General features: G+C 39.5%; 1 protein-coding gene and 3 pseudogenes across 2 annotated transcripts in view, besides 1 other annotated feature; 2 read left to right on the top strand and 2 right to left on the bottom strand.

The window, feature by feature from the left end:
- The window catches only part of ANKRD62 (ankyrin repeat domain 62), an 87,842-nt gene extending 64,760 nt beyond the window's left edge, over positions 1–23,082 (bottom strand). For both annotated transcript variants that reach the window (XR_001753188.2, NM_001277333.2), the window contains exons 1-10: positions 22,690–23,082; positions 21,640–21,754; positions 21,315–21,488; positions 20,623–20,729; positions 19,148–19,285; positions 17,243–17,310; positions 13,697–13,767; positions 9,458–9,630; positions 1,804–1,837; positions 1,391–1,532 (exon numbers count right to left, since the gene is read on the bottom strand). Coding sequence is in view for 1 of the 2 variants with exons in the window: in NM_001277333.2 (NP_001264262.1) it covers positions 1,391–1,532; positions 1,804–1,837; positions 9,458–9,630; positions 13,697–13,767; positions 17,243–17,310; positions 19,148–19,285; positions 20,623–20,729; positions 21,315–21,488; positions 21,640–21,754; positions 22,690–22,907 (1,240 nt within the window). In the remaining variant the exon portion in view is untranslated. The remainder of the gene's footprint in view (positions 1–1,390; positions 1,533–1,803; positions 1,838–9,457; positions 9,631–13,696; positions 13,768–17,242; positions 17,311–19,147; positions 19,286–20,622; positions 20,730–21,314; positions 21,489–21,639; positions 21,755–22,689) is intronic.
- On the top strand, positions 14,419–15,223 carry SDHDP1 (succinate dehydrogenase complex subunit D pseudogene 1; annotated as a pseudogene).
- Positions 18,393–18,498, bottom strand: RNU6-324P (RNA, U6 small nuclear 324, pseudogene; annotated as a pseudogene).
- Positions 18,395–18,564: an enhancer, noted in NCBI's record as "active region_13100". NCBI's record gives its function as "activates an Ori minimal core promoter by ATAC-STARR-seq in GM12878 lymphoblastoid cells {active_cell/tissue: GM12878}" and the evidence as "EXISTENCE:reporter gene assay evidence [ECO:0000049][PMID:35858748]".
- LOC100533852 (nuclear factor kappa B subunit 2 pseudogene) lies at positions 23,839–25,407 on the top strand (annotated as a pseudogene).

Raw genomic sequence — 25,407 nt, 5'->3', positions numbered from 1 at the left:
TAAATATGACATATAAATGCAGACATCCATTTTTTTAAAGAGTAGGAAGATTCATTATTGTTAAGAAGTCAATTCTCCATAAATTAATCTATAAATGCAACACAATTCTAACCTAATGTCCAACAAGCCAGCACTCGTTGGACATTTTTAAATGACGAGGTGATTCTAAATTTTTTTAAATTGACAAGCTGATTCTAAAGTTCACGTGGAAATGCAAAATCTAGCATAAGCAAAACACAACAAAGAATAGAAAAATCAACTTCAACAATTATTATACATCAACAGTAACCAAAACAGTTGGCCACTGGTACAGGATGAATATTCCTTATTAAAAATGCTTGGGACCAGAAGTGTTTCAGGTTTTGGATCTTGGAATATTTGCATCTACATAATGAGATATCTTGGCGATAGGACCCAAGTCTAAACACAAAATACTATTTCACAAAGACAGATGGTAATTAAAAAAATACTTTTAATAATTTTGTGCATGAAACAAAGTTTGTGTATATGAGGTGAACATGTTTAGTCATTAGGATCATGCATATTAACCACACCCATAAGAATGGCTACAAATAAATACTGCAATACTTAGTGTGACAACACAGTAACCGCAACTGTCCTGTTGTGCTGATCAGATGGAAATAGTACACTTTTTTTGAAAACAATTTGGCAGCTTTTTCTAAAAAAGGAACATAAAGCAGCATAGGACACTTTTGTGGGTTATGGATAACTATCTTGATTATGGTGACACTTTCACACGGGTATGTATCTGTCAAAACTTATCAAACTATACACTTTACATATGTGCACTTTAACATGTATCAGTTATACCTCACTGAAGCTACTGATTGTAGGAGCAAACACCTGGGGCACTGGCTGTGACACACAGAGAAACAAGGGTATGGAATGAAGCAGTATAAAGCTAGAGCATTGTCATCTTTACCTTATAGCAATGACAAGTGGCAGTTGGGTGTTAAGCAAGCAGGTAACATGATCAGATGTGAATTTTAAAAATGTATATAATTATGATTGCAGAATAGACCATGGCTTTGGAAGGTGGGGCAGTAGGGAAAAGAGGTGTAAGGTTATCACAGTATTCCAGGTACAAGATAATGACAACCTGACCCTGGGTAAAGGCATAGAGGAGAAGCAGAGTCAACAAATAGATTGGGAGTGTCATTCACACTGAGAAAGGTACAGTGGAATGATCACAGCTCTTTGGCTAAGAGTATACAAGATAGAGTAGTTCTCATTCTATGTTCACAAGAAGGATATTTCCGAGATGAACATCCCTATAACACATCAGTGTTCTATGGTGCCGTGCTAAGCAATATGTGCATACATTACTATAGGATAGGGAAAGAGCCTTATATTTATGCATTGGTCCTACCTTTACACTCCATTCCACTTTGTTCAATGAGTAACATAAAATTCTCATCATCAGAGTAAGGCAACTCATCATCCTCTGAGGTTTTTTCAGATGACCCACTTATGTCATTAAGGTCATCCGTGAAATATATTTGGCTTTTAACCTATAAAATAAATAACACTGTTTCAAAATGCCCTCGAAATATTTATAGCATATACTAAATATACACCAGTGGGAATTATCCGTCTTTTTACATGAGCAAAAACACAGGTACTTCTTAAAATAACTGACTTTGGTTAAAAGGGTGCTTTTATGAATGGTTACCGCTGCTTTATCAAAGTCAATGTCTTTACAGCAAAAGATTTTCTGTTTTTTACCATGATCTTTTTTAAGGTATGTTCAACAGCATTCTTGACAATTTACTTTTATAATACCTTGCTCTTTTCATTAGAGGTTTTCCTTGCAAGCCTAAAAAAAAAACCAAAAAATTCCAATCAGGCAAATAGTAAATATGTAAAATACAAAGAATATCTAAAACTTTTTTATATAAAATCTCTGTGTTTGTAGTTTCTCTCTCTTATTTATAATGTTTACAGGTAATGTTTTTACAGGTGATGCAAAATACAATTTTTTTTACAAGGGGAAAAACTAAATGGAAAGGGTAGCACTACAGGACAAATGAAATATATTAATATCAAAAAATTAAGTTTAAATCAAGCTTTCTGATCATCAAAGACAGAAAAAAAAACATGTTATTTGCAGTATTTGATAAAAAAATACGTATCCTGGGGTTTTGCCCTTTTCAATACAAACAAAGTTTTACTGGTACTAAGACCTATTTGATAAATATTACTTGTGTAACAGAATCCCTTTTTTAATGATAACATTAGCTAGCCTTTTTGGGACATACTGCGCAAGTACTGTGCACTATTCTAAACACTGTACATGTATTTAAGTCATTTAAATCCTCCCAGCAATTCTGTAAAGTAGGTAACATAATAGATATTTTATAAAGAAAGAAACTAGGCACAGAAAGGCCACATAACCTGCCCAAACACATAAAACTGTTCAATAGCAGACTAAGCATTCAAACCCAAGAACTTTGGCTCCAAAACATGCGTTTCGCAATATGCTATGAAAGTAATATTTATTTTCAAGTAATATGATAGCAGATGAATTCATATTATCTTTCCATTTGTGAATATAAGTAATAATGTCTGAATCTTGTAATATTTTAAAAATAAGATTTTAATCTTGGCATTTTTTTTAAGTTCAGTGGTACAACTGCAAGTTTGTTATATATGTAAACTTGTGTCACGGGGTTTTGTTGCAGATTATTTCATCACACACGTATTAAGCCTAGTACTCATTAGTTATTCTTCCTGATCCTTTCCCTCCACTCATCCTCCACTCCACCTTCCAGAAGGTGCCAGTGTGTTTTGCTCCTATCAATGTGTCTATGTGTTCTCACCATTTAGCTCCCATTTGTGAGAGAGAACATGTGGTGTTTGGTTTTCTTTTACTGTGTTAAATTGCTAAGAATAATGGCCACCAGCTCCATCCATGTTCCACCAAATGACATGATCTCATTTTTTATGGCTACCTAATATTTCCTGGTATATATGTACCACATTTTCTATATCCAGTCTATGAGTGATAGGCATTTACTTTGATTCCAGGTCTTTGCTATTGTGAATAGTACTGCAATGAACATATGCATGTGTCTTTATAACAGAATAATTTATATTCCTTTGGGTATATACCCAGTAATAAGATTGCTAGGTTGAATGGTACTTCTGTCTTTGAGGAAATGCCACACTGTTTTCCACAATGGCTGAACTAATAATATACACTCCCACCAACAGCGTATACGCATTCCTTTTTCTGTACAACCTCACAAGCATCTGTTATTTTTGTACTTTTTTTTTTTGAGACGGAGTCTCAGTCTGTCACCCAGGCTGGAGTGCAGTGGCGTGATCTTGGCTCACTGCAACCTCCGCCTCCCAGGTGCAGGCAATTCTCCTGCCTTAGCCTCCTGTGTAGCAGGGATTATAGGCGAGTGCCACCACGCCAGGTTAATTTTTGTATTTTTAGTAGAGACGATGTTTCACCATATTGGTCAGGCTGGTCTCAAACTCCTGACCTCGTGATTCATCTGCCTCGGTCTCCCAAAGTGGTGGGATTACAGGCGTGAGCCACCATGCCCAGCCTGGACTTTTTAATAATAGCCATTCTTACTGGTGTTAGATGGCATGTTAATAGGGGTTATGATTTGCATTTCTCTAACGATCAGTGAAGTTGAGCTTTTTTTCCATGTTTGTTGATCTTGTGTATGTCTTCTTTTGAAAAGTATCTGTTCTTGGCCTGGAGCAGCGGCTGACATCTGTAATCCCAGCACTTTGGGAGGCCAAGGTGGGCAGATTACCTGAGGTCAGGAGTTCGAGACCAGCCTGACCAACACGGCAAAAACCCATCTCTGCTAAAAATACAAAAATTAGCAGGGTGTGGTAGGGCATGCCTGTAGTCCCAGTTACTCGGCAGGCTGAGGCATGAGAATCACTTAACCCGGGATGGGGAGGTTGCAGTGAGTGGAGATCACAGCACTGCACTCCAGCCTGGGAGACAACGCCAGACTAAAAGAAAAAGAAAAAAAGAAATCTGTTCATGTCCTTTGCCCACTTTTTATGGGGTTTTCTCTTGTATTTAAGTTTCTTACAGATGTTAGATATCAGACCTTTGCCAGATGCATAGTTTGCAAAACGTCTTCCCTTGTGGAGGTCGTCTGTTCAGTCTGATGACAGTTTCTTTTGCTGTGCAGAAGCTCCTTAGTTTAATTAGATTCCATTTGTCAATTTTTGCTTTTGTTGCAATTGCTTTGGCATCTTCATGATGAAATCTTTGCCGGTGCCTATGTCCAGAATGGTATTGCCTAGATTGTCTTCCTGGGTTTTTATAGTTTTTGGTTTTACAGTTAAATCTTTAATCCATCTTGAGGTAATTTTTGTTTATGGTGTAAGGAAAGGGTGAAGTTTCAATCCTCTGCATATGGCTAGCCAGTTATCCCAGTACCATTTATTAAATACGGTCCTGTCCTTGTTGCTTTTTGTCAGGTTTGTTGAAGATCAGAGAGTTGCAGGTGTGTGTTCATATTTCTGGGTTCTCTATTCTGTTCAACTGGTCCATGTGTCTGTTTTTGAACCAGTGCCATGTTGTTTGGTTTCTGTAACTCTGTAGTATAGTTTGAAGTCAGGTAGTGTGATTCCTCCAGCTTTGTTCTTTTTGCTGAGGACTGCCTTGGCTATTCACACCCTTTTCTGGTTCCCTATGAATTTTAAAATAGTTTCTTGTAGTTCTGTAAAGAATGTCAATGGTAGTTTAATAGGAACAGCATTGAGTCTACGAAATGCTTTGGGCAGTATGACTTTTTTTTTTTTTTTTTTTTTTGAGTTGGAGTCTTGCTGTTGTCGGCCTGGGCTGAAGCACAATGGCATGATCTCTGCTCACTGCAACCTCCGCCTCCTGGGTTCCAGCAACTCTCTTGCCTCAGCCTCCCAAGTAACTGAGATTACAGGTGCCTGCCACCACGCCCGGCTAATTTTTGTATTTTTAGTAGAGGCAGGGTTTCACCATGTTGGCCAGGCTGGTTTCAAACTCTATCTTTGAGCAGTGTTTTGTAGTTCTCCTTGTAGAGATCTTTCCCCTCTCTACTTAGCTGTATTCCTAGGTTTTTATGTTGTTGTTGTTTTGGTGGCAATTGTGAGTAAGAATTAGTTCTTGGTTTGGCTCTTCACTATTGTTGGTCTATGGGAATGGTACTAATTTTTGCACATTGATTTTGTATCCTGAGACTTTCCTCAAGTTGTATCAGCTTAAGAAGATTTTGGCCTCACACTATGTGGTTTTCTAGGTATAGGATCATGTCATCTTCAAACTAAGATAGTTTGACTTCCTCTCTTCCTACTTGGATGCCCATTATTTCTTTCTCTTGATGGATTACCCTGGCCAGAACTTACAATACTACGTTGAAAAGAAGTGGTGAGAGAGGGCATCCTTGTCTAGTGCCACTTTTCAAGGGGACCGCTTCCAGCTTTTGCTCATTCAGTATGACGTTTGCTGTGGGTTTGTCATATACGGCTCTTATTATTTTGAGGTATGTTCCTTCAATAACTAGTTGAGAGCTTTTAACATAAATGTTGAATTTCATCAAAAGACATTTCTGAATCTATTGAGATGTGATTATCTCAATAATAAACAGAATAATTCTGTTTATTTGATTAATTACATTTATTGATCTTTTTTTTTTTTTTGAGAGGCAGTCTCGCTCTATCACCAAGGCTGGAGTGCAGTGGTGCAATCTTGGCTCACTGCAACCTCTGCCTCCCGGGTTCAGGCAATTCTCCTGCCTCAGCCTCCTGAGTAGCTGAGACTACAGGTGTGTGCCACCACGTCTGGCTAATTTTTTGTATTTTTAGTAGAGACAGGGTTTCATCATGTTAGGATGGTCTCAATCTCCTGACCTCATGATCCGCCCACCTCAGCCTCCCAAAGTGCTGGGATTACAGGCGTGAGCCACTGTGCCTGGCCTATTGATTTGCACATGTTGAAACAACCTTGCATCACAGGGATGAAGCTAAATGCTCACATCAAAAAGAAAGATCTTAAGTTCACAACCTAATGTCACAACTAAAACAACTAGAAAGGCAGGAGGAAAATCTAGGTGAGTGACTGACATTCTGAAAGCCAAGTGAACAAAGTGATATGGTGGAGAAAGTTCTCCATGGGGTCAAATATTGCTGGTAGGTTAAATAAAATGAGATCTAAGAAATTATGTCTAGATGTATTACAGTGAAAAAATGACAAGCTTGAGAATAACAACTTTGGAGGAGCGGTGAGAGTGAAAATTACAGCAGTGAGTTCAAGAGTGAATGGAAGGGAAGGTTGAGTCCATGAGTACAGACAGTTCAACTTCAAGGACATCATACCTAAGTGGCATTATCGTGGATGACCTAATTTTCTTCTTGTTCAGCTGTATTTCCCAATACTTTTATAATGATTAATTACCTAGTATGTTTTAACACCTTAAGCATTTAAAAAATTATACACATATGGCATTTTTATAAGCCAGACCATGGTATAAATGAATAAAGCCATAAAATTATAGAGCATTTCTAGATTATATAAAAGTGATTATCATTTTGCTCATGCTTATAAAGACCATAGAAAGACTAATGATTTCAAGGACAGTATTTCTTACTTGAGAAAACTCACCCAACTCTGAGACATTTTATACTCATCAAATACACAAAACAATTAGTCATACTAAAATACTCAATTCTGTAACAAGAATAAAAAGTGACAATGCAAAAATATCTTATTTCGTAAACTTAATTTTTGTAAATTATACAATATGAAGTCACTAATGAAAAATATGGTGTGGTGCATACTTTTCAAAGGAAGACTAAAGACATGCATTGAGAGTGCCTCTAAACAGGAAATACACTGCATTGGCAGCACCTTGGTTTTAAGCACACAGGTCAGCAAATTAATAGTGTGTGCCAAATTCAGCCTACTACCTGTCTGTCTGTTTTTTTTTTTTTTTTTTTTTGGTAACAGTGAAACCTATTCTTTTATTGAATGACAACGAAACCTATTCATTTATTGAATGACAGTAATTCATTTATCGAGTGACAGAGTGACACCTATTCATTTATTGTCTATGAAAGATGTTGGACTACAACAACACAGACCCTCTGGTCCATAAAGCCTAAAATTGTTACTATCTGGTTCTTTACATAAAAAGTTGGCCAACTCCTGGCTTGGTAGATCAAAGGTCCTTTGATATACTTCGATAACGTTTAGCAATATTGTAAATATTTATATAAAATATGGATCCCCATGTACAATCCCTTGGCAATATTCAGATTATTATAAAGGTCCAATATTTGAGCACTTTTGCATTGAGAAAAACAACAATTTTATAACTAACGATTATGTTGGTAACAAAGTAAAGTGCCAACATAGCATGTAGCTTCCTTTTCTAACTCAGTAAACACTACAAGTATTAAGATCATACAGTATTGTATTCCGACAAAATTTGCTAGGGCCCCACTGCTCTGTGCAGACCCGGGACATGGCACCCTGCATCCCAGCTGGTCCAGCTCCAGCCATGATAAAAAGGGCCAAGGCACAGCTCAGGCTGTTGCTTTAGAGAGTGAAAAACCCATGCCTTGGCAGCATCCATGTGGTGTTGGGCCTACAGGTGCACAGAACACAAGAGGTGAGGTTTGGGAACCTTTGCCTAGATTTCAGAGGATGTATGGAAATGCCTAGATGTCCAAGCAAAAGTCTGCTGCAGGGGCAGAGCCCTCATGAAGAACCTCTGCTAGGGCAGTGCAGAAGGGAAATGTGGAGTTGGAGCCCCCAAAAAGAGTTGCCAATGGGGCACTGCTTCGAAGAGCTGTGAGAAGATGGTGACCATCTTCCAGACCCCAGAAAGGTAGATCCACTGACAGCTCATACTGTGCACCTGGAAAAGCTGCAGGCACTCAACATCAGACTGTGAAAGCAGCCACAAGGGCTGAACCCTGCAGAGCCACAGGGGCAGAGCTGCCCAAGGCCATGGGAGCCCACATTTTGCATCAGTGTGCCCTGGATGTGAGAAATGGAGTCAAAGGAGATCATTTAGGAGCTTTAAGATTTAATGACTGCCAAGTAGAGTTTCAGACTTGCATGGGGCCCATGGCACCTTTCTTTTGGCTAATTTCTCCCATTTGGAATGGGAACATTCACCCAATGCATGTACCCCCACTGTATCTTAGAACTAACTAACTAATTTTTGATTTCACAGGCTCACATCCTTGTCTTGGATGAGACATTGAACTTGGACTTTTGGGTTAAAGCTTGACTGAGTTAAGACATTGGGGGCACTGTTGGGAAGGCAGTATTGGTTTTGAAATGTGAAAAGGACATGAGATTTGAAAGGGGCCAGGGTGGAATAATATGGTTTGGTGCTGTGTCCCCACCAAAATCTCATCTCAAATCATAATCCCTACCTGTCAGAAGAGAGACCTGGTGGGAAGTGACTTGATCATGGAGGCTGTTTCCCCCATGCTGTTCTTGTGATAGTGAGTGAGTTCTCACAAGAGCTAATGTTTTTAAAGTGTGGCACTTCCTTGCTCTCACTCTCTCCTACCGCCTTGTGAAGAAGGTGCTTGCTTCTCCTTTGCCTTCTGTCATGATTGTAAATTTCCTGAGGCTTCCCCAGCCAGGAGGAACTGTGAGTCAATTAAACTTCTTTTGTTTATAAATTACCCAGTGTCAGGTAGTGTCTTTACAGCAGTATGAAAATAGACTAATACAAGATGTGTTATCAAACCCAATGCTTTAAAGATACTTTACTGGTGAAATAATCACTACACTATAAATGCAACTTCATTTTTATAAGAGGGTTGCATAGTACATTATTTTATGGGTGTGACTACTTATTTCCTTTAATTAACAGACTTTTACACAATCTCAAACATTTTGATATGACAATGCTATAATGAAAGTTCTTACCATATATATGTATGCACGCAACAATTTCATATAAAGAAATAACTACACATGCATATATATGTTGGCCTATTGCATGTTATATATATGATATACAAGATATCTTCTACATCATATGTATAATAAATATACAATTAATGACCTCAACTGCTTGTGTGTATGTGTAAACTCATATTTTCCTGTAGAATCTAGTCCCAGAAGTAAAGCTGTCAGGTTAACGAAATGATATATTTAAAATTGTGATGCATGCTACTGAACTACCCTTCAATAAAGATTTACCAATTTCATTTAGCAACAGTGTATAAGAGGATGTCTTTCTTCACATTTGTCTAGTTACTTTTTAAATAAAACATCAATATGATTGGAAAGACCATATCTCATTGCTTGTTAATTTGCATTTTATGATTACCAGGCAAGGCAGAATATTCCTCATAAAAGTATAAAATTTGTTAATCGTACATATTAACCCAAATTAGAATTCATTTTATAGTACAATTAACAGTGATCCGCTGTTAACTATCGCTACAGGATTACCTATCAAACTCGCCATTCTCCTTCCCAGGAGATTGATGATTATCAGGTTTTCTGTTCTTTATTTTGTGAATTAATTCATCAACATCATCATTATAATTGTCACTGTCATCAGCATGTACGTTTCTTGACACTTCCATTTTCTTATTTCTGCATTTCTTCATTTTTTCTTCAACCTTCAATGAAAGTTTCATACTGAGAATAATTGTCATTATTTTATCCAATAGAAAGAACTTTTTTGTGTTCATTCATTTAATCACTTGACTCAGTCTGTCATATTAGTCATGACATGATAAAATACCTTGTGCTTACTTTTTCATTATATATAATTATATTATAATTTTTATTGAAATTCATATAAAGTCTGATTTATTTCTGTTTGAGTGAATAAAATTTTCAAAACTTTCAAAATGGGCCCATTCCAAATTTGTGCTTTTATTCCCATTGCTGTCTAATATACATTTTCACCCCCGGTGCCCTTGTGATGAGCAGAAATAGAGAAATAAAAAGACGAAGCCATCAAATCTGTCCTCTTCTATCTTTACCTCCTGGAGTTTACACTAAACGGCCAGATTTAGAGGATGTGATATTGTGGGGCTTCAAGAACAGAAAGGAAGCTTTCCCCTTTCTACGGTAAGCTTTCTTTTCCCACTGTCTTTTATTTTACTTTCTCCCTTTGGATCCTAGGATACTGAAAATGTGAAGGTGCTTGCTGAAATACAAGAACCAAAATTTGAAACCACAAAAGCAGAGTGAAACTGCTGAGATGCTACTTTAGAGTTCTGGAAAATGAGATGCTTCCCCAATTTCACATTCAGTAACCATGACATTTTATAGCTGGAGGATATACAGTGTAAGTAATTATCTACTTTGGCCCCATTATCAAAAAAGATTAAATGATTCATCTAAATCCCCTGGCATTTTCCAGCATTTTATTGCACAAAACCTGATAATACTGTTTCATAAGGCTGAATCAGATAAATTACCGATAAATTCATCAAATTAATCAGAAGAATTAAAAGTGTAACTCTGGGAAAGTAACATAATGCCTCAGAAGGGGCTGAGAGGCCTCATCTACTTTTACTTTTTAAGATGAACATCACCAGATTTTTGTCTATCTTTAAAACTCGATGTACCGAAATCATGTTGCTACTTTGGAGTCAAATACTAAATTTTGGGCTGAGAATCCATGGTACTGACATAATAAAGTTATACATGCTAAAACTTATGCTCTATTAAACAAAATCACATTAAGATCTGCTTTGACAGAAACATGCGGAAGTTGTGATTAAAAAATAGGTGGAGATATCTATATACATTTGTTTTCAAATATACTTAAGGTTGTCATGATGAAATTGTAAGCCTTAACATATTGAGTTAAATGGATCAATTTGCACACCTGAAAGCACAACATACAGATTCCTTTGCCCATGAATATTTGTTCCAACTCTCAAGGACAGACACATTTTTATAGCACTTCTCAGTCATTGCTTCCTTCCCATTGATTTCCCACTTTAAGTAAGTGCAATTCATCTTTAAGTCAATAGGGAAAAATTAAACCCTAGAGCTTATTAAATTTTTAAGCAATTTCCTATAGGCTAACCCTAGTTTACAAGTGTCTATATCCATGATATATGAATAGATTTTTTTCCCAGTCCCTATGCCACTTGTAAAATGGACAGACAGACTTGGGTTGATCAAGTAATGAAGATTATAGAATGTTTTCCTGATCTCCTATCATTTAAATTGAGAAACAGCCTATTTCTATGCACAATTATGTATATAGATAACCCGATTTTATGTAAGAGCTTTTCATAAGTAAAAAAAATTAGAATGCACCAAATAATTGGTCAAGAGAAAAAAAACGAGTGGCAGCAAGTGGCCCTGTAAATCTTTCTGAACTTTTCTTTTTTCTTTCTAAGAAGAGCTGTGAGAAGAGAGTGACCATCTTCCAGACCCCAAAAAGGTAGATCCACTGACAGCTCATACTGTGCACCTGGAAAAGCTGCAGGCACTCAACATCAGACCATGAAAGCAGCCACAAGGGCTGGAACTCTAGTTGTAATATGCGTGCCTCATTCTTAAGTCTTTGTATATTGTGCTGTAACTATTCTTCTAGATGTACTTTTAATGCTCTGTCACTGTGTGGTGGAGAAGAATGCACATTTTCTAATCCAAGTTCTATTCTTTTATAGTTATTTGTACTGTAATTATGATATAATGGTTTGTGGAACAAGTTTTGAATTGGTTTTGTATTCTTATTAAGTGTCTGTAACAACAGAAACACTACGCTTTTTCTTTTTCTCACATACTTAATTTCTCTGGAGCAGGTAAGCCACAAATCTAAAAGGCTTGTTGGATCACTAAACTGAGGCACATTTCTGATGTCCAATTTGCAATTAATGTTATGTTGGTGATTTTTTCATCATGTACCTATAACACTCTTGGTCTTCTTTTATTTCAATTGTAACTACTTCTGGGTTCCTTGCTTTTGTACTTTTTGTGTCATTATAAAATTCTCCCAGTCTATGTTAAAAGCATGTTCTGTGTCTGGTCTGTTACTATTTTCACAGTATACTTTATTTTCATTTAAATAAAAATCAGAAGATGACTGGCAAGCAAATTCTGGAGGCCAAGAGTATAAATGAGATCAAAAGACATTTATGAGGCTGCACTATTTTTAAACAGGAAATATTAGGAATACATATTAGATGAACACTCTAGATACATCTTTTCCTGACAATCAGGTGCATTATTTGTCAAATTTGAGGGTATTTTCTTTAAGTTTGCTATTCCTGTAGAGTTATCATGGAGTGTCTCTTCCTAAAAACGAGGCAGCAGTTTTGTATTCTTCACAAATTTCACCCAAATTCTGCTTTAACTCAATTTTGATGAGTTTTAAAGTTTTTTTCCACCTCATTTGTCTTGTTTGATCCACGTTTTCCTCATACTTTTGCACATAAGGGAGTCTTGTATATACAGATATATGCTATTACAATACTTGTTCACTTCTGTTTGTTGAGACATTTTTTGCAGATGTGAAAGTGGAAGATTATGAGTTTTGTTTGTCAGATGTCTTTTCTGTCAGGGTATATGTTTTAAGGATAACTTTGTCTTTAAATAATGAAGTATGAAAAAATGAAAATTTAACTGTTAAATTTCTTAATCTATGTTTACCTAATCCCAAATTACTGTCTTGTAACCAAAAAGTGAAAAATAGTTTGCATAAGCCTAAAATATAAGAAAAACACAAACTATCAAACTTTACTTTGACAGTGTCTGGAGTAACATTAATTCATTGTGTGATAGATTTACCAAAAATGAAAATAAGAGATCATTTTTAGGAGTACAAAGGCATCTTCACTTAACAAGATTTTATCTCACTGTACTGGAAATACTGATACCCAATAGTGCACATTTGAGTGTTTTTTTCCAAAGATTACTAACCGGTGAGTAGGCAAACTTAAAATTATTAGGAGTCAAAATCAACCCCAATCAAAAGAAAAGCAAATTCTTACATTTTAATTCAAATTATATACTGTAATATGATAGTGTTATATAGCTATATAAACTATAGGCTTAAGTCAAGTTCTAATAAATTTTCAGGTCCACAAATGACAGTTGATTTTAAAAATTTAACAATATTTGCAGATTTCCTATGTTGAAATAAATTGGGAACATTTTTGCTTGAACCCAAACACCAAAAGTGCCATTTTGCAAGGTCTGATTCTCTTGATAGGTAGAGTTGGGTTGATTTTATGACCCCATTCTGCCCTGAACATAGATATTGAAATTAGTAAGAGATCACAATGGAGAATACATTTTTAATCTTGGTATTAGTCACCAGTAATATAAAACTGCAAATTTTGGACCATTGGCAATGATTACTTCTTTAACAGGAATCCAAATCAGCAGCCACCATTGTTAAATTATTCATAATTTTTATTGCTTAAAATTATAATTCAATATTTGATATTACTTTCTTTATTACATTAGGTTATAAAAATGGAACAGCAAACAATACTCAGGAACTTTTTGCCTCAGTTCCAAGGGTAATATTAGCTGTAAAATCACTGTAGATTCTTAGAACACTTTAAATTTTATAAACAGTTAAAATGTTATTAAAATTAACTATTAAATTACATTCAATTGATTCTAAAAGGCTAGTCCAAAAGTAATTTCATTTGGATTATGCTACATTACCAAAGAAAACCAGAAATTTGAAATTAAATTTTTACATACCTGTGGCTGGCTACTTTCACATCCTTCAAGCCTTTCTTGCTCTCCCTCTGATGTCATTTCTAAGTCTTGTTCTGCTCACAAATCCATATATTTAGTTAAAATGAACTACTTAGAACAATTAGATAAAAACTTTAGTCTTTATAAAAATAGAAAATAACATATTTTTCTTCTATAAATTGAGAATTTTAATGAAGCTTAATCTTTAGCGATATATCTACTTCTTAAGAATTACTTCTAGTTCTCCAAAACTTCAACAAACTACTTGGCAAGACACCAGATGTCACCAGATTCAAGCCATAGACCAACATCTCAAAGATTCGCTCACAAATGAATCCACCCAACAATATAAATGAACAAAACCATCAGAAAAACAAAATTTGAAAATCCAGTATTAACAGATAAACTAACACTACATATTGTTCTTTACTTCCTAATATTACCTTTATAATAACACACTAAACCTGCTTCTTATTATGAGTAACTTCCAATATGACTGTTACTGCTTATACCTTCATCCATATACACCCCGTTCATTATATCTGAAATGTCTTCCTCTACTATTCTGACAAATTTCATTTTTCAACAGCTGTGTAAACTCTTCTCTGATTCTGGCTCTTTCCCCAGACAAACAGTTTTATATAATACAGGTTTCATAAAACATGCAGTTAAGGTTTCAAAAGCGAGTTTATGTTTTAACCGACTATAACTAAAATACAAAGTGGGGGTTGGTGGATGACCTTGAGTTTTCAGGAATGAGATGGCGGTTCTCTGGAGACTGAGTACCCTTCGCGGTGCCCAAGGAGGCTGAGCTCTGTTGCTGCGAACCCCAGTGGTCACACCTGCTCCTATCTCAGCATTACTTCAGAACCGACCTACCCCCGAATGGTGTGGAGTGAGTACATTGGCTTGTCACCAAGCCACCATTCTGGTTCCCAGGTTGCGTCTCTCCACTGGACTAGTGAGAGGGTCGTCAGTGTTTTGCTCCTGGGCCTGCTTCCAGCTGCTTATTTGAATCCTTGGCTCTGTGACGGACTCTACTCCTTGCTGCAACCCTCACTCTTCATAGTTACTCGGGCCTTGGACAAGTTGTTACTGACTATGTTCATGGGGATGCCTTGCAGAAAGCTCCCAAGGCAGAGCTTCTGGCACTTTCAGCTTTAACCTTTGCTGGGCTTTGCTATTTCAACTACCATGATGTGGGCATCTGCAAAGCTGTTGCCACGCTGTGGAAGCTCTGACCTTTCTGACTTAATACTTTGAAGAACTGATGTATGCCTCTTTGCCTCTGCTTTGTCATGCCATTCAACTCACAATAAGGAAGAAATAACAGGGTAAGTCCATTGGTGGACAGCCTTCTTCTCTTAATCACAAGATTGTTTTCCAAATTTAATATTTGAGGAAAAGGTTTGAGAGGAATTACGACTAAGAAATTGTGAGACTGAGTTTTGTATTGCGGTGAGTTAATGGGGTTGCCTCCCAGCTTCTCATAAGAGTCACAGTATAACTAAACATGATACGAGCTTTTGCCTTTTATCAATCTCTTAAAGAGAATCCAGCTTTATTACTATTAATATATGATCAAATTTCTGTTTTTGCCCTGGGAATGATGGACAAAGGGAAATACTGTTAATTCATGAATAAAAACATCGCAGAAAATTAGAGAGTGTTCAGTTTTTGAAAACTTCCCTCTCTATTCAGTAGATACCACCTACTGATGGTTACATATACTGGGGAAATTTTAAAATTAGGAAATGCTGATATCTCACATTATGAATTTCTAAATCTTAGGAAGAAAAGCTTGGAGTGCTTCTGAATATAGAGAAGTTCCATTTAAGGGCAAGGTTCCCCTTGTAGACATATCAAAATATTACAAATTCTAAACTGAGACTCAAGTCTCAAATGTGTTTTACTTGTTCTGAAACAATCTGTCCATGAATATGAAACTATAAGTAATACATTGCTATTTTCCCACTATGGGAATCTCTAATGTGAAAATGTATTCTATGAATTGTTTTTAAATAAAATGTTGTATAATTAAAAAAAAGAAAAGTACACACATTCCAAAATGAACCTAATGGCTTGCAAAAAAAAAGTGTTTTTCAGTTAAGAATAGCAAATCATGATCCTGAGAGGATAAATGTCAAAGCTTATGGGAGAGTGCTGTGGCATATTTTTAATGCAACACATCATACTTAATTATACCATTATCCTACATGTATTTTTAAGTTGTGGGGCTGTGTGGCACAGCATGTGTCCTACTTCAAAGAGGCAGCCCCCGGTCTGTTCTGGTAATGGTTGCTGTACTTTTACTATAATGTGCTGAGCCTAGAGTTGGGCTATTCGAATATTATTATAATAATATTTTAGCTAATGGTAACAGAGTGTCTTCTTCTAACAAAATTGATATTATCATGACAATTAACTAGCAGATAGAACAAATCTCACCCTAACGAAGTAAATATATCTCATTTTATTTCCACTTGGGGGGAATTAAGTCAATACTAGTGAGACATTCTTGGTATGAGAATATGTAACACGGCCTGTGCTTCTCAATAAGGAATTTATTTTCTGACTTCTCTACACAGTAGGTATCTTTAAAAAATAACATCCTATTGGTATTGGTACAGTTCTTATTGATGTTTGTTCATGGTACCAGAAAGGTCTCATTGAAATTCTTATTTTAAAGACAGTTACTTTTTAAGTGACACAAATCACCATGTCAGAGTTAATCTCTGAACAACACAGGTTTGAACTGCAAGGGCCCGCTCATCTGCAGACTTTCTTCTGCCTCTGCCACCTGAGATGGCAAGATCAATCTCCCTCTACCTCCTACTCCTCCTCAGCCTAGCCAACTTGAAGACTCTGAGGATGAAGAGCTTTATGATGATCCACTTTCCACTGAATAAAAATATATTCTTTCTTCATTATGAATTTCTTTATAAGTTTCTTCTTCTCTAGTTTACTTTATTGTAGTAACAATACAGTATATAATACATATAACTAATATGTCTTAATTAACTGTATAATCAATAAGGTTTCTAGTCAACAATAAGTCATGAGTAGTTAAGTTTTAGGGGGGAGTCCAGAGTTATATACAGATTTCAAACTGAATGGGGGACTGGTACCCCTAAATCCCACACTACTCAAGGCTCAGCTGTAATATGTATTTACTAAATGCAAAGCATTTGTTTTATAAATTAAAATATCCAATGTTATAACAAATCCAATTCATCATAAGGTGACTATAAAGAAAACATACCACATACTAACTTAATCTTTTTTCTTATTTACACAAAAATATCATCTAGAATTTCAGAAACTACGATAATGAGTTTTTTTCAGATAATACTGCTTGAGATTATAACTTGCCTACAAGTAACTTTTTAAATAATTCTGAAATCTAGATTACTAAGAAAGTAATTAAAAAATATACATTCAATTTACAGTGGTTTTTTTAAACTGCTGTTTTGTGATCAAAACTTCCTTCCTCTTACTTTTTTATCTATGACAGGACCATCGAGAGGAATTCACTATCAGAAGTCATACCTGAATTGCTATTTTGAAGACTTTTACATCTCTTGTTTGCTTTATATTCAGAAATCATTCCACGAATGCTATGTATCAAAATGCAGTAAATACAATTACTATTTTAATACTGATATGAAAAACTTTACCAAATACATTAAATTCTTAAGAGTATATCAAACAATATCAGAACTTTAATTATACACTTTTAGTTTGTAAGCTCTACAAAACTCTTATTAAGCTTCTAATTAAAGAAGAAAAAAGTATGAAGTGAGGACAGTATAACTCAGTAAATTAACTCATGTGAAGTTGACATAATGGAAAATGATCTGACTCATAATAGGACCAATGGGTATTTGTTCTTGAACAAGTCTCTTCTCTTAGGCTCAATGTCTTCTTCTAAAGAATGAAGGTTTTACTACCTTATTCACTAGGTTATTATAAATGTTTAATGAAACCACATTTTAAGGTGCTCAGAGAAATAGTAAAGCAATGGAATAATTTGTTCTTGAACTTTTTTGCTGAAATTATTTTGGAATCCCAAATGAAACCCAATGTGTATTTTCACATATGTTCTAATATTAAAATGTTATGATCTTTTGAAAATGTTGTTAAGTCCTAATTTTGCTTGTTACTTGTTCTATTATTTGTAGCTTATGATTCAGGACATCTCAACTATTTCACAGTTTGTAACTAAATTGATAAATAGATTGTCTCATTAAAATAGATAACATGATTATCCATTGTTACTTATGTCATCAATCACACCAAAGGCAGAAAGCTAACAGATGTCAAGACCTGGCTTGGACTACTACTATTTTTCCTCTATAGACTCTAACTCTGAACTGGCAGATCTTTGTTAGAATGATGCTTCCTCTCCATGGTCATCCCCAACTGACATGGAAGACAAAAACCCTCATATTTTTGAAGGGTCATGAAGGAGATGCAAGTGGTTATTTTTTCATTTCTGAGATACATACTAACAATATATTTGCACACAACACACCACGAGTTTACTCAGCGCCATTCTCATTTCATAGATACCTTACTCCAATGTTTTTGTAATGAAAATGTGTAATTTCATTATTGGCTAGCACCTGTTTTGCTTTGACTCACACTGTTTTCCGGGAACTTGTCAGCAAACTAGTCAAATGGCCTTCTTGTAACTGTGTAAAATATGGACTGCTTCACAGATTAGTGTGACATGCTTATGCAGGGGCCATGCTAATTTTCTCTGTATTGGTCCAACTTTAGCATATGTGCCGCGAAGCAAGCACAAAGCTCTACTTTTATAAATGGATGCTGATCAGTCATGGATGAAGCTTGGCTCTGTTCAGTCCAACTCACCTACTTGAGACAGATAATTCTGACTAATGGCTTCCTATGAGGTAATATTTGAAGATATTTTAAAAACTTGAGGTGGAGAAGCAAGTGGGCTGGGAGATTTTTATTATTATGGAAAACAGATCACTCGAGGGGCCAACCACAAGTTGGAGCCCACTGCGGACAACATGGGACCCTCCTCTATCTAAGAAAAGCTGCTACATAAGATATAAAGGGGCTTGGGGTAAAAAATCTGGTAACAAAGAAGAAAAAACTTTGATATCTTCCTGCAACACTATCTGAACATCTCTAACAGGTTAGAACTATCCCAACTAATATTTGCTAGAGAGAAGACAAACAAGGGACTCACAGAATAACTAAGCATAGAAGTCTTAAGAGACTTGAGTTAAAGAATCCTACACTCATTGCTACTTCTAACTTGTCTAGTCTTATGCTTGATTTCTGGCTGATGAAGTGGACTAACTCACTGCCACTCCAAAACTACCTGAACCAAACTATGAAATCTCACTTGATATATAAGATGCAATGGTTACAATGACTTTAAACCTCAATTTAGTGTTCACTAGCCTTTTTAACACTTACGCTTGAAACTTAGAAGCAACAGCGTAGTCTTCTGCAGTCCATCCAGATATATCTTGGCAAAAGACATCAATATTGTGCTGAAGAAGCTGGTAGACTACACTTGTTGATCCATTACGAGCAGCAAGTATCAGGGCTGTTCTAAAATAAGAAAGATAATTTCATGCTTAGGAACTTTAGCAAAGCTATGTTAAAAGCTAAATTTATAAACTTTACCAATTTAATATGCCTGTCCATGTAGAATTAACCAATTACATGTACTAATAAACACAAACATCTTGGGTGCTCAAGGGTTCATCTTTGTAAATTGCCACCAAAGCCAAACAGAAGGAACAACAAGGAAGCCTCTTGTCCCACTGGGATATGACATAGCAGAAGTTGATAAAATAAAGTCCTTTGATGGGCAGAATACTATGCTCAGGTCACTTATCTAAAGTAGCTAAAAATTTAAGTGAAAAATTATCCATTTCTTCCCTAGTCTGATATAATATATTGTAATTCAAAATGAGCGTGGGGTCAATAAGAGCTATCTGCAGGTTTAAAACAATAATAATAATGCTAATAATAGCCACAGTAGTTTCAGTTAAGAATGCTGATAATCATATGCGAGGCACTGGATTAAATGCCATATATACATATATTACTTATACACAACCACCCTGGAAGGATATATTATTATCCTCTTGTTTCATAAAGGAAAACACTTGGTGATAAGTAATGTTCCCAAGGTCACACATCTAGTAAGCAGAAAAGCTAAGAATTAAACCCAGTCTTGTGTGAATCTATAGCCGATCTCTTTTTTCTCATTGTCACCCATGGCTTGTAGTCATTAAAAGTTCACCCAGTTGAAGCTAGCTTTTTTCCCTCTGCCCATACTAATTAAAAATAACACCAAAATACACTAGAAGTAAAAAGAAGAAAAAACCCAATGAACCCACAGTATCTGGCAATAGCAATTAATAGTCACTTAGGAATAACCTAACATTAATATTTTTGAGAGAAAGCAAGCTAAAGCAAAGAGTCATCCAAAACACAAAATGATTTTCAACTCTAATTTATCTTTAACAAAGTATTTTTAAAGGAAAAGCATGTAAGAAGCAGAGGTTGAAACTACTATAAAAGAGTTAAGAAATTTCAATATTGAGTCACAAAGTAAACTAAAAGTTGAAGTCTACACTTTTAAAACAAGTAAAACCAATATGACATCCCTTTAGTTAAGATCATATGACTCAAAGTATCACCTCATCCATCAACAAACATCAGTCAATATAATAAGAGAAGACAAATCCTGCAATACACTATTTTTTATGTTGCCCAGTCCAAATAATTGTTTTTCTACCTGATGACTTCTGCTGGTATTTCTCTCTATCCCAATAATAATAAGTTAATCTTATCAATTTAATATTTCTGACAAGTGACTGTTACCACTCTAGAACACCACTCAGGTTTAAAAATGAACAAAAAAAGAACTACTGTACCTTCCAAAATTATCTATTGCAGTTAAATCTGGTTTTTTCTTCAACAAAAATGCCACCATTTGCTCTTTTTTCCTATTTACAGCGAGTAAAAGTGATGTATGTCCATCCTGCAAAACAGCAAAAACAATTTATAATTCACAAAATTACATACTTCCCAACTGAACTGAAAACCTTATGTTAAGATCCTATGAACTTAAACATGAAGCAGAAAGTAAATAAAAAGCAATCCCTTCCTTCTCACTCCACTGTGCTTGCCCACATGTTGCTCCTTCCCTTTCAGATACCCCTCCTAGGGTGTCTGGAAGGCACAGTAGCAGACTGGAGCACATATGCCTCACATAAAGGGATAACCGCTGCACAGCATACTCAACAGTGATATGAGCTCAAGGGAATCCAGATGTGATCCTTTAAGAGAAGCCTGAAATCTAGACATGTGTATGAGTTTCCTAAATTTTACATGTTGACACAGCTTATGGAGGTAAACTAACCTAAATCTATGGGACACATTTAGACTACAGACCTCGTGTTTTCATATTTGTTATGAATGTATTTTTAAATAGTTGTATGTAAAGCAAATATTTGCACGTAATATATTTCCTTCTAGTTTCAGATGTTTTACTAAAAAAAATCATATGTCAATGGTAAAACAAATATACTTGAAATACTTTGAAAAGAACATTGGTTGATCATACCTGGCTTCTTGCTTCAATATCTGCACCATATGCAAGCAGTTTTCTTGCCATTGATATATTCTCATTATCAATGGCATAGTGCAGAGCAGTGTTGCCATACATATCTCTAACATTTGGGTTGGCGCCATGTTCCAGCAGGATGGATGCACAAACTTCTTCTTGACATTGTACAGCCTGTCAGTATTAGACCAAGAAATAGACTGTAAATTCTAGGAAATCTTCCACAGGATTCACCAACTAGTCACATTTCAATGAGGTGAATTAATTTTATTCTGTGAATTTAAATTAAATCCATCCCATGCTGAAAGAGTTGGCTACCATATACCTTGATCAGAGCTGTCCTGTTTTCACTGTCAGTGAGGTTAAGCTGGCATTTTCTGGCCACCAGGTCAGCTACCACTCCTGGACGGCCATGGGCACACGCCAAAAGTAGAGCAGTCCTGTGAGAATGAGAGGTCGCTTTAGGCAATTGTAGTGCACAGTCCCAAAACATACAACGACGCATGCAATTGTAAACATCCAATAGTATGTTATCCCTCTGCCTTCAGAACAAATAGTTACTTTTCTTGTGAAGAAAGGCAAGGTTTCCACATCCCAGGTGCTGCTGAGGCTGCCAGGGTAGAAAGCCCAGTGCCCTTGGTGACAACACTCACCCCACCCCCACCCCCACCCTTGCATCGTACCCACATCCTACCCAACTCTACCCCCAACCAGTCCCCTCACTCCATCCAACCCCCACCCCAGCCAACCCTCACTCCACTCGACTCCCCACCACAGTCCCTCACCCAACTCTACCCCCCACCACAGTCCCCAACCCCACCCACCCCCACACCAGTCCTGCACTCCATCCAACCCCCACCCAACTCCACTTCCCACCAGTCTCCCACCCAACTCTACCCCCACCACAGTCCCCCCAACATCCAACGCCCCCAGCCACTCCCCACCACAGTCCCCCACCCCATCCCACCCCCCACCAGTCCTCCACCCCAACCCACCCTCACTCCACTCCCCACCACAGTCCCTCACCCAACTCTACCCCCACCACAGTCCCCCATCACATCCAACGCCCCCCAGCCACTCCCCACCAGTCCCCCAACCCATCCCACCCCCCACCACAGTCCTCCACCCCTTCCAACCCCCACCCAACTCCACTTCCTACCACAGTCCCCCACCCAACTCTACCCCCACCACAGTCCCCCATCACATCCAACGCCCCCCAGCCACTCCCCACCACAGTCCCCCACCCCACCCACCCTCACCTGACTTCCACCCCACCCACGCCTTCACCCCACACCGTATCTCCCCTACCCCGAAACCAGGAACAGGGGCTTCTCCCATATCCCCAGGCCTCCTCCCGGCTTCCTGTTCCCCTTACCTGTTCTTCTTGTCCCTGTCGTTCAAGTCATTCAGCCTGAGCAAGATGCTCTCCATCACCTTGTTCACATCACCTGCGATGGCAGCTTTGTGGATCATGCCCAGATCCTTCTGCCGGACTCGGTACCCGGGATTTGAGAAGCCATCCTTGTCACGATTCTTCCTCCAGGTAGCCATGCGTCTCCTGCAGGCCGCCAGGAACGACCCCCTGACCTCCATCCTGAAGCCAGAGATCTTCTCCCAGGCTGAGGAACGGCTTTAAGACACCTCAGCTCCCACTCGTTTTCTGCCTCTCTGGAGCGCAGCACCAGCACGTAACCAGGTCCAGCCGCAACCTCCGTCAGGGACACTCCAGTCTCCAGCTGCTCGGAGGAGCACCTAGCCCAGCAGAGCCGTTAGGCACCAGCGCGCATGTGCACCTCAGCCGGCCCACGAGGCCATCCGCGGAGAAACAGCCCTGAGCCTCGCGCCCTCCATTCGCGGGCGCCACGTGGTGGCGCACCCGCCCTCCCCCCACCTCCCACCGCCCCCCGCCTCCCCGGCCAGAACCCTTAGGCACCAGGGCACATGCGCACCTCAGCCTGCCCGCGAGGCCCTTCGCGGGAGCTGCGCACTCTCGCGAGCGCCGCCTGCTGGCTGGCTCACGCCTGTGATTCCAGCACTTTGGGAGGCCGAGGCAGGCGGATCACGAGGTCAAAAGATCGAGACCATCCTGGCTAACACGGTGAAACCCCGTCTCTACTAAAAATACAAAAAATTAGCCGGTCGTGGTGCCGGGCGCCTGTAGTCCCAGCTACTTGGGAGGCTGAGGCAGGAGAATGGCGTGAACCTGGGAGGCGGAGCTTGCAGGGAACCGAGATCACGCCACTGCACTCCAGCCTGGGTGACAAAGCGAGACTCCGTCTGGAAAAAAAAAAAAAAAGAGCCAGGCTTTTAGTGCCCGGCAGGGACTCAGGAGGAAGCCGCAGAGCCATAGATCTGCCTTGGTTGGTTCTGCCCTAACTTTGCCCTGTGCTACCCTGGGCCTGTTCTACCCTGCCCTGCCCTGCCCTGCCTTTGGCTCTGCCCTGATCCTGCTTTGGCCCTCACACTGGCCCTAGTGCAGACCTGGCCCTAGCCCTAGCCTTGGCCCCGCACGGCCATAGCCCTAGCCCCCTCCAGGACCCCTCCCCAGTGCCAGCTGCAGGCCCTGGAGATGCTGCAGTGAGCCCGAGAGTACAACGCTCTTCAGCCTGGTGTGGCACGGCACAGCGCAGCGCCCAGGCCCTACTCAACTATGGTGTCACCACGGACGCCAGCACACTGCTGGCGGGACAATGCCACCTGCTGGAGCAGGACGAGAACAGAGACACGCCACTATACCTGTCCATCATCCATGGGCCGACCAGGGTCATCAAGCACATAGCCCATGTCATCTACCACACCCAGCACCTTGGCATCGTCAACCTCACCAACCACCTGCACCAGACACCCCTGCACCTGGCAGTGATCACCAGGCAGATGAGGGTGGTGAGCTTTCTGCTTCAGGTGGATGCAGACCCAGCACTGCTGATTGGCATGGAGACTCAGCCATGCACCTGGCACTGCAGGCAGGCCCTGGTGCCTCTGAGCTGCTGCATGCACTGCTTTGGAGTGGAGCTCCCGCTGTGCCTCGGCTGTTGCACATGCCTGACTTTGCAGTACACCTGGCGGCCCAAGCCCAAAGCCCCAAGTGCCTGGATCTGCTGGTGGACAGTGGGGCTGAAGTGGAGGCCACAGAGTAGCAGGGGGCCAAACAGCCTTGCATCTAGCCACAGAGATGGAGGAGCTGGGGTTGGTCACCCATCTGGTCACCAAGCTTCGGGCCAATGGGAATGCTCACACCTTTGTGGGAAACACACCCCTGCACCTGGCAGCTGGACTGGAGTCCCCAACCCTCACCCTCCTTCTGAAGGCTAGTGCTGACATCTATGCTGAGAATGAGGAGCCCCTGTGCCCACTGCCCTCACCCCCTACCTCTGATAACGACTGGGACTCAGAGGGGCCTGAGAAGGACACCCAAAGCAGCTTCCAGGGCCACACGCCTCGACCTTATCCACAGCACCAAGGTGAAGACCTTGCTGCTAAATGCCACTCTGAACACCATGGAGCTAGCTGCCCCTGACCCCACCCAGCCCTGCAGGGCCAGGGCTGTCACTTGGTGACACAGCCCTGCAGAACCTGGAGCAGCTGCTAGATGGGCCAGAAGCCCAGGGCAGCTGGGCAGAGCTGGCAGAGCGGCTGGGGCTGCGCAGCCTGGTGGACATGTACCAACAGACGGCCTCGCCCAGTGACAGCCTCCTGCACAGCTATGAGCTGGCTGGCGAGGACTTGGCAGGTCTGCTGGAGGCGCTGTCTGGCATTGGCCTAGAGGAGGGAGTGAGGCTGCTGAGGGGTCCAGAGACCTGAGACAAGCTGCCCAGCACAGCAGAGATGAAGGAAGACGGGGGTACGGGAGCCAATCAGTGGAGCAGGAGGCAGAGAAGCTGGCCCACCCCCTGAGCCACCAGGAGGCCTCTGCCATGGGCACCCCCAGCTTCAGGTGCACTGACCTGCTGCCTGGCCCCAGCCCCCTTCCCGGACCCCCCTGTACAGCATCCCCACCTATTTCAAATCTTAAATTTAACACCCCACACCCACCCCTCAGTTGGGACAAATAAAGGTTTCTAATGGGAAGGGAAGGACCCCTCCTTCCCAACTT

Source organism: Homo sapiens, chromosome 18 (genome assembly GCF_000001405.40).
Source record: "Homo sapiens chromosome 18, GRCh38.p14 Primary Assembly".
NCBI classification, from domain to species: Eukaryota; Metazoa; Chordata; class Mammalia; order Primates; family Hominidae; genus Homo; species Homo sapiens.
The sequence above is the reverse complement of the archived record's forward strand: the minus strand, read 5'-3'. Positions and strand labels throughout refer to the sequence as shown.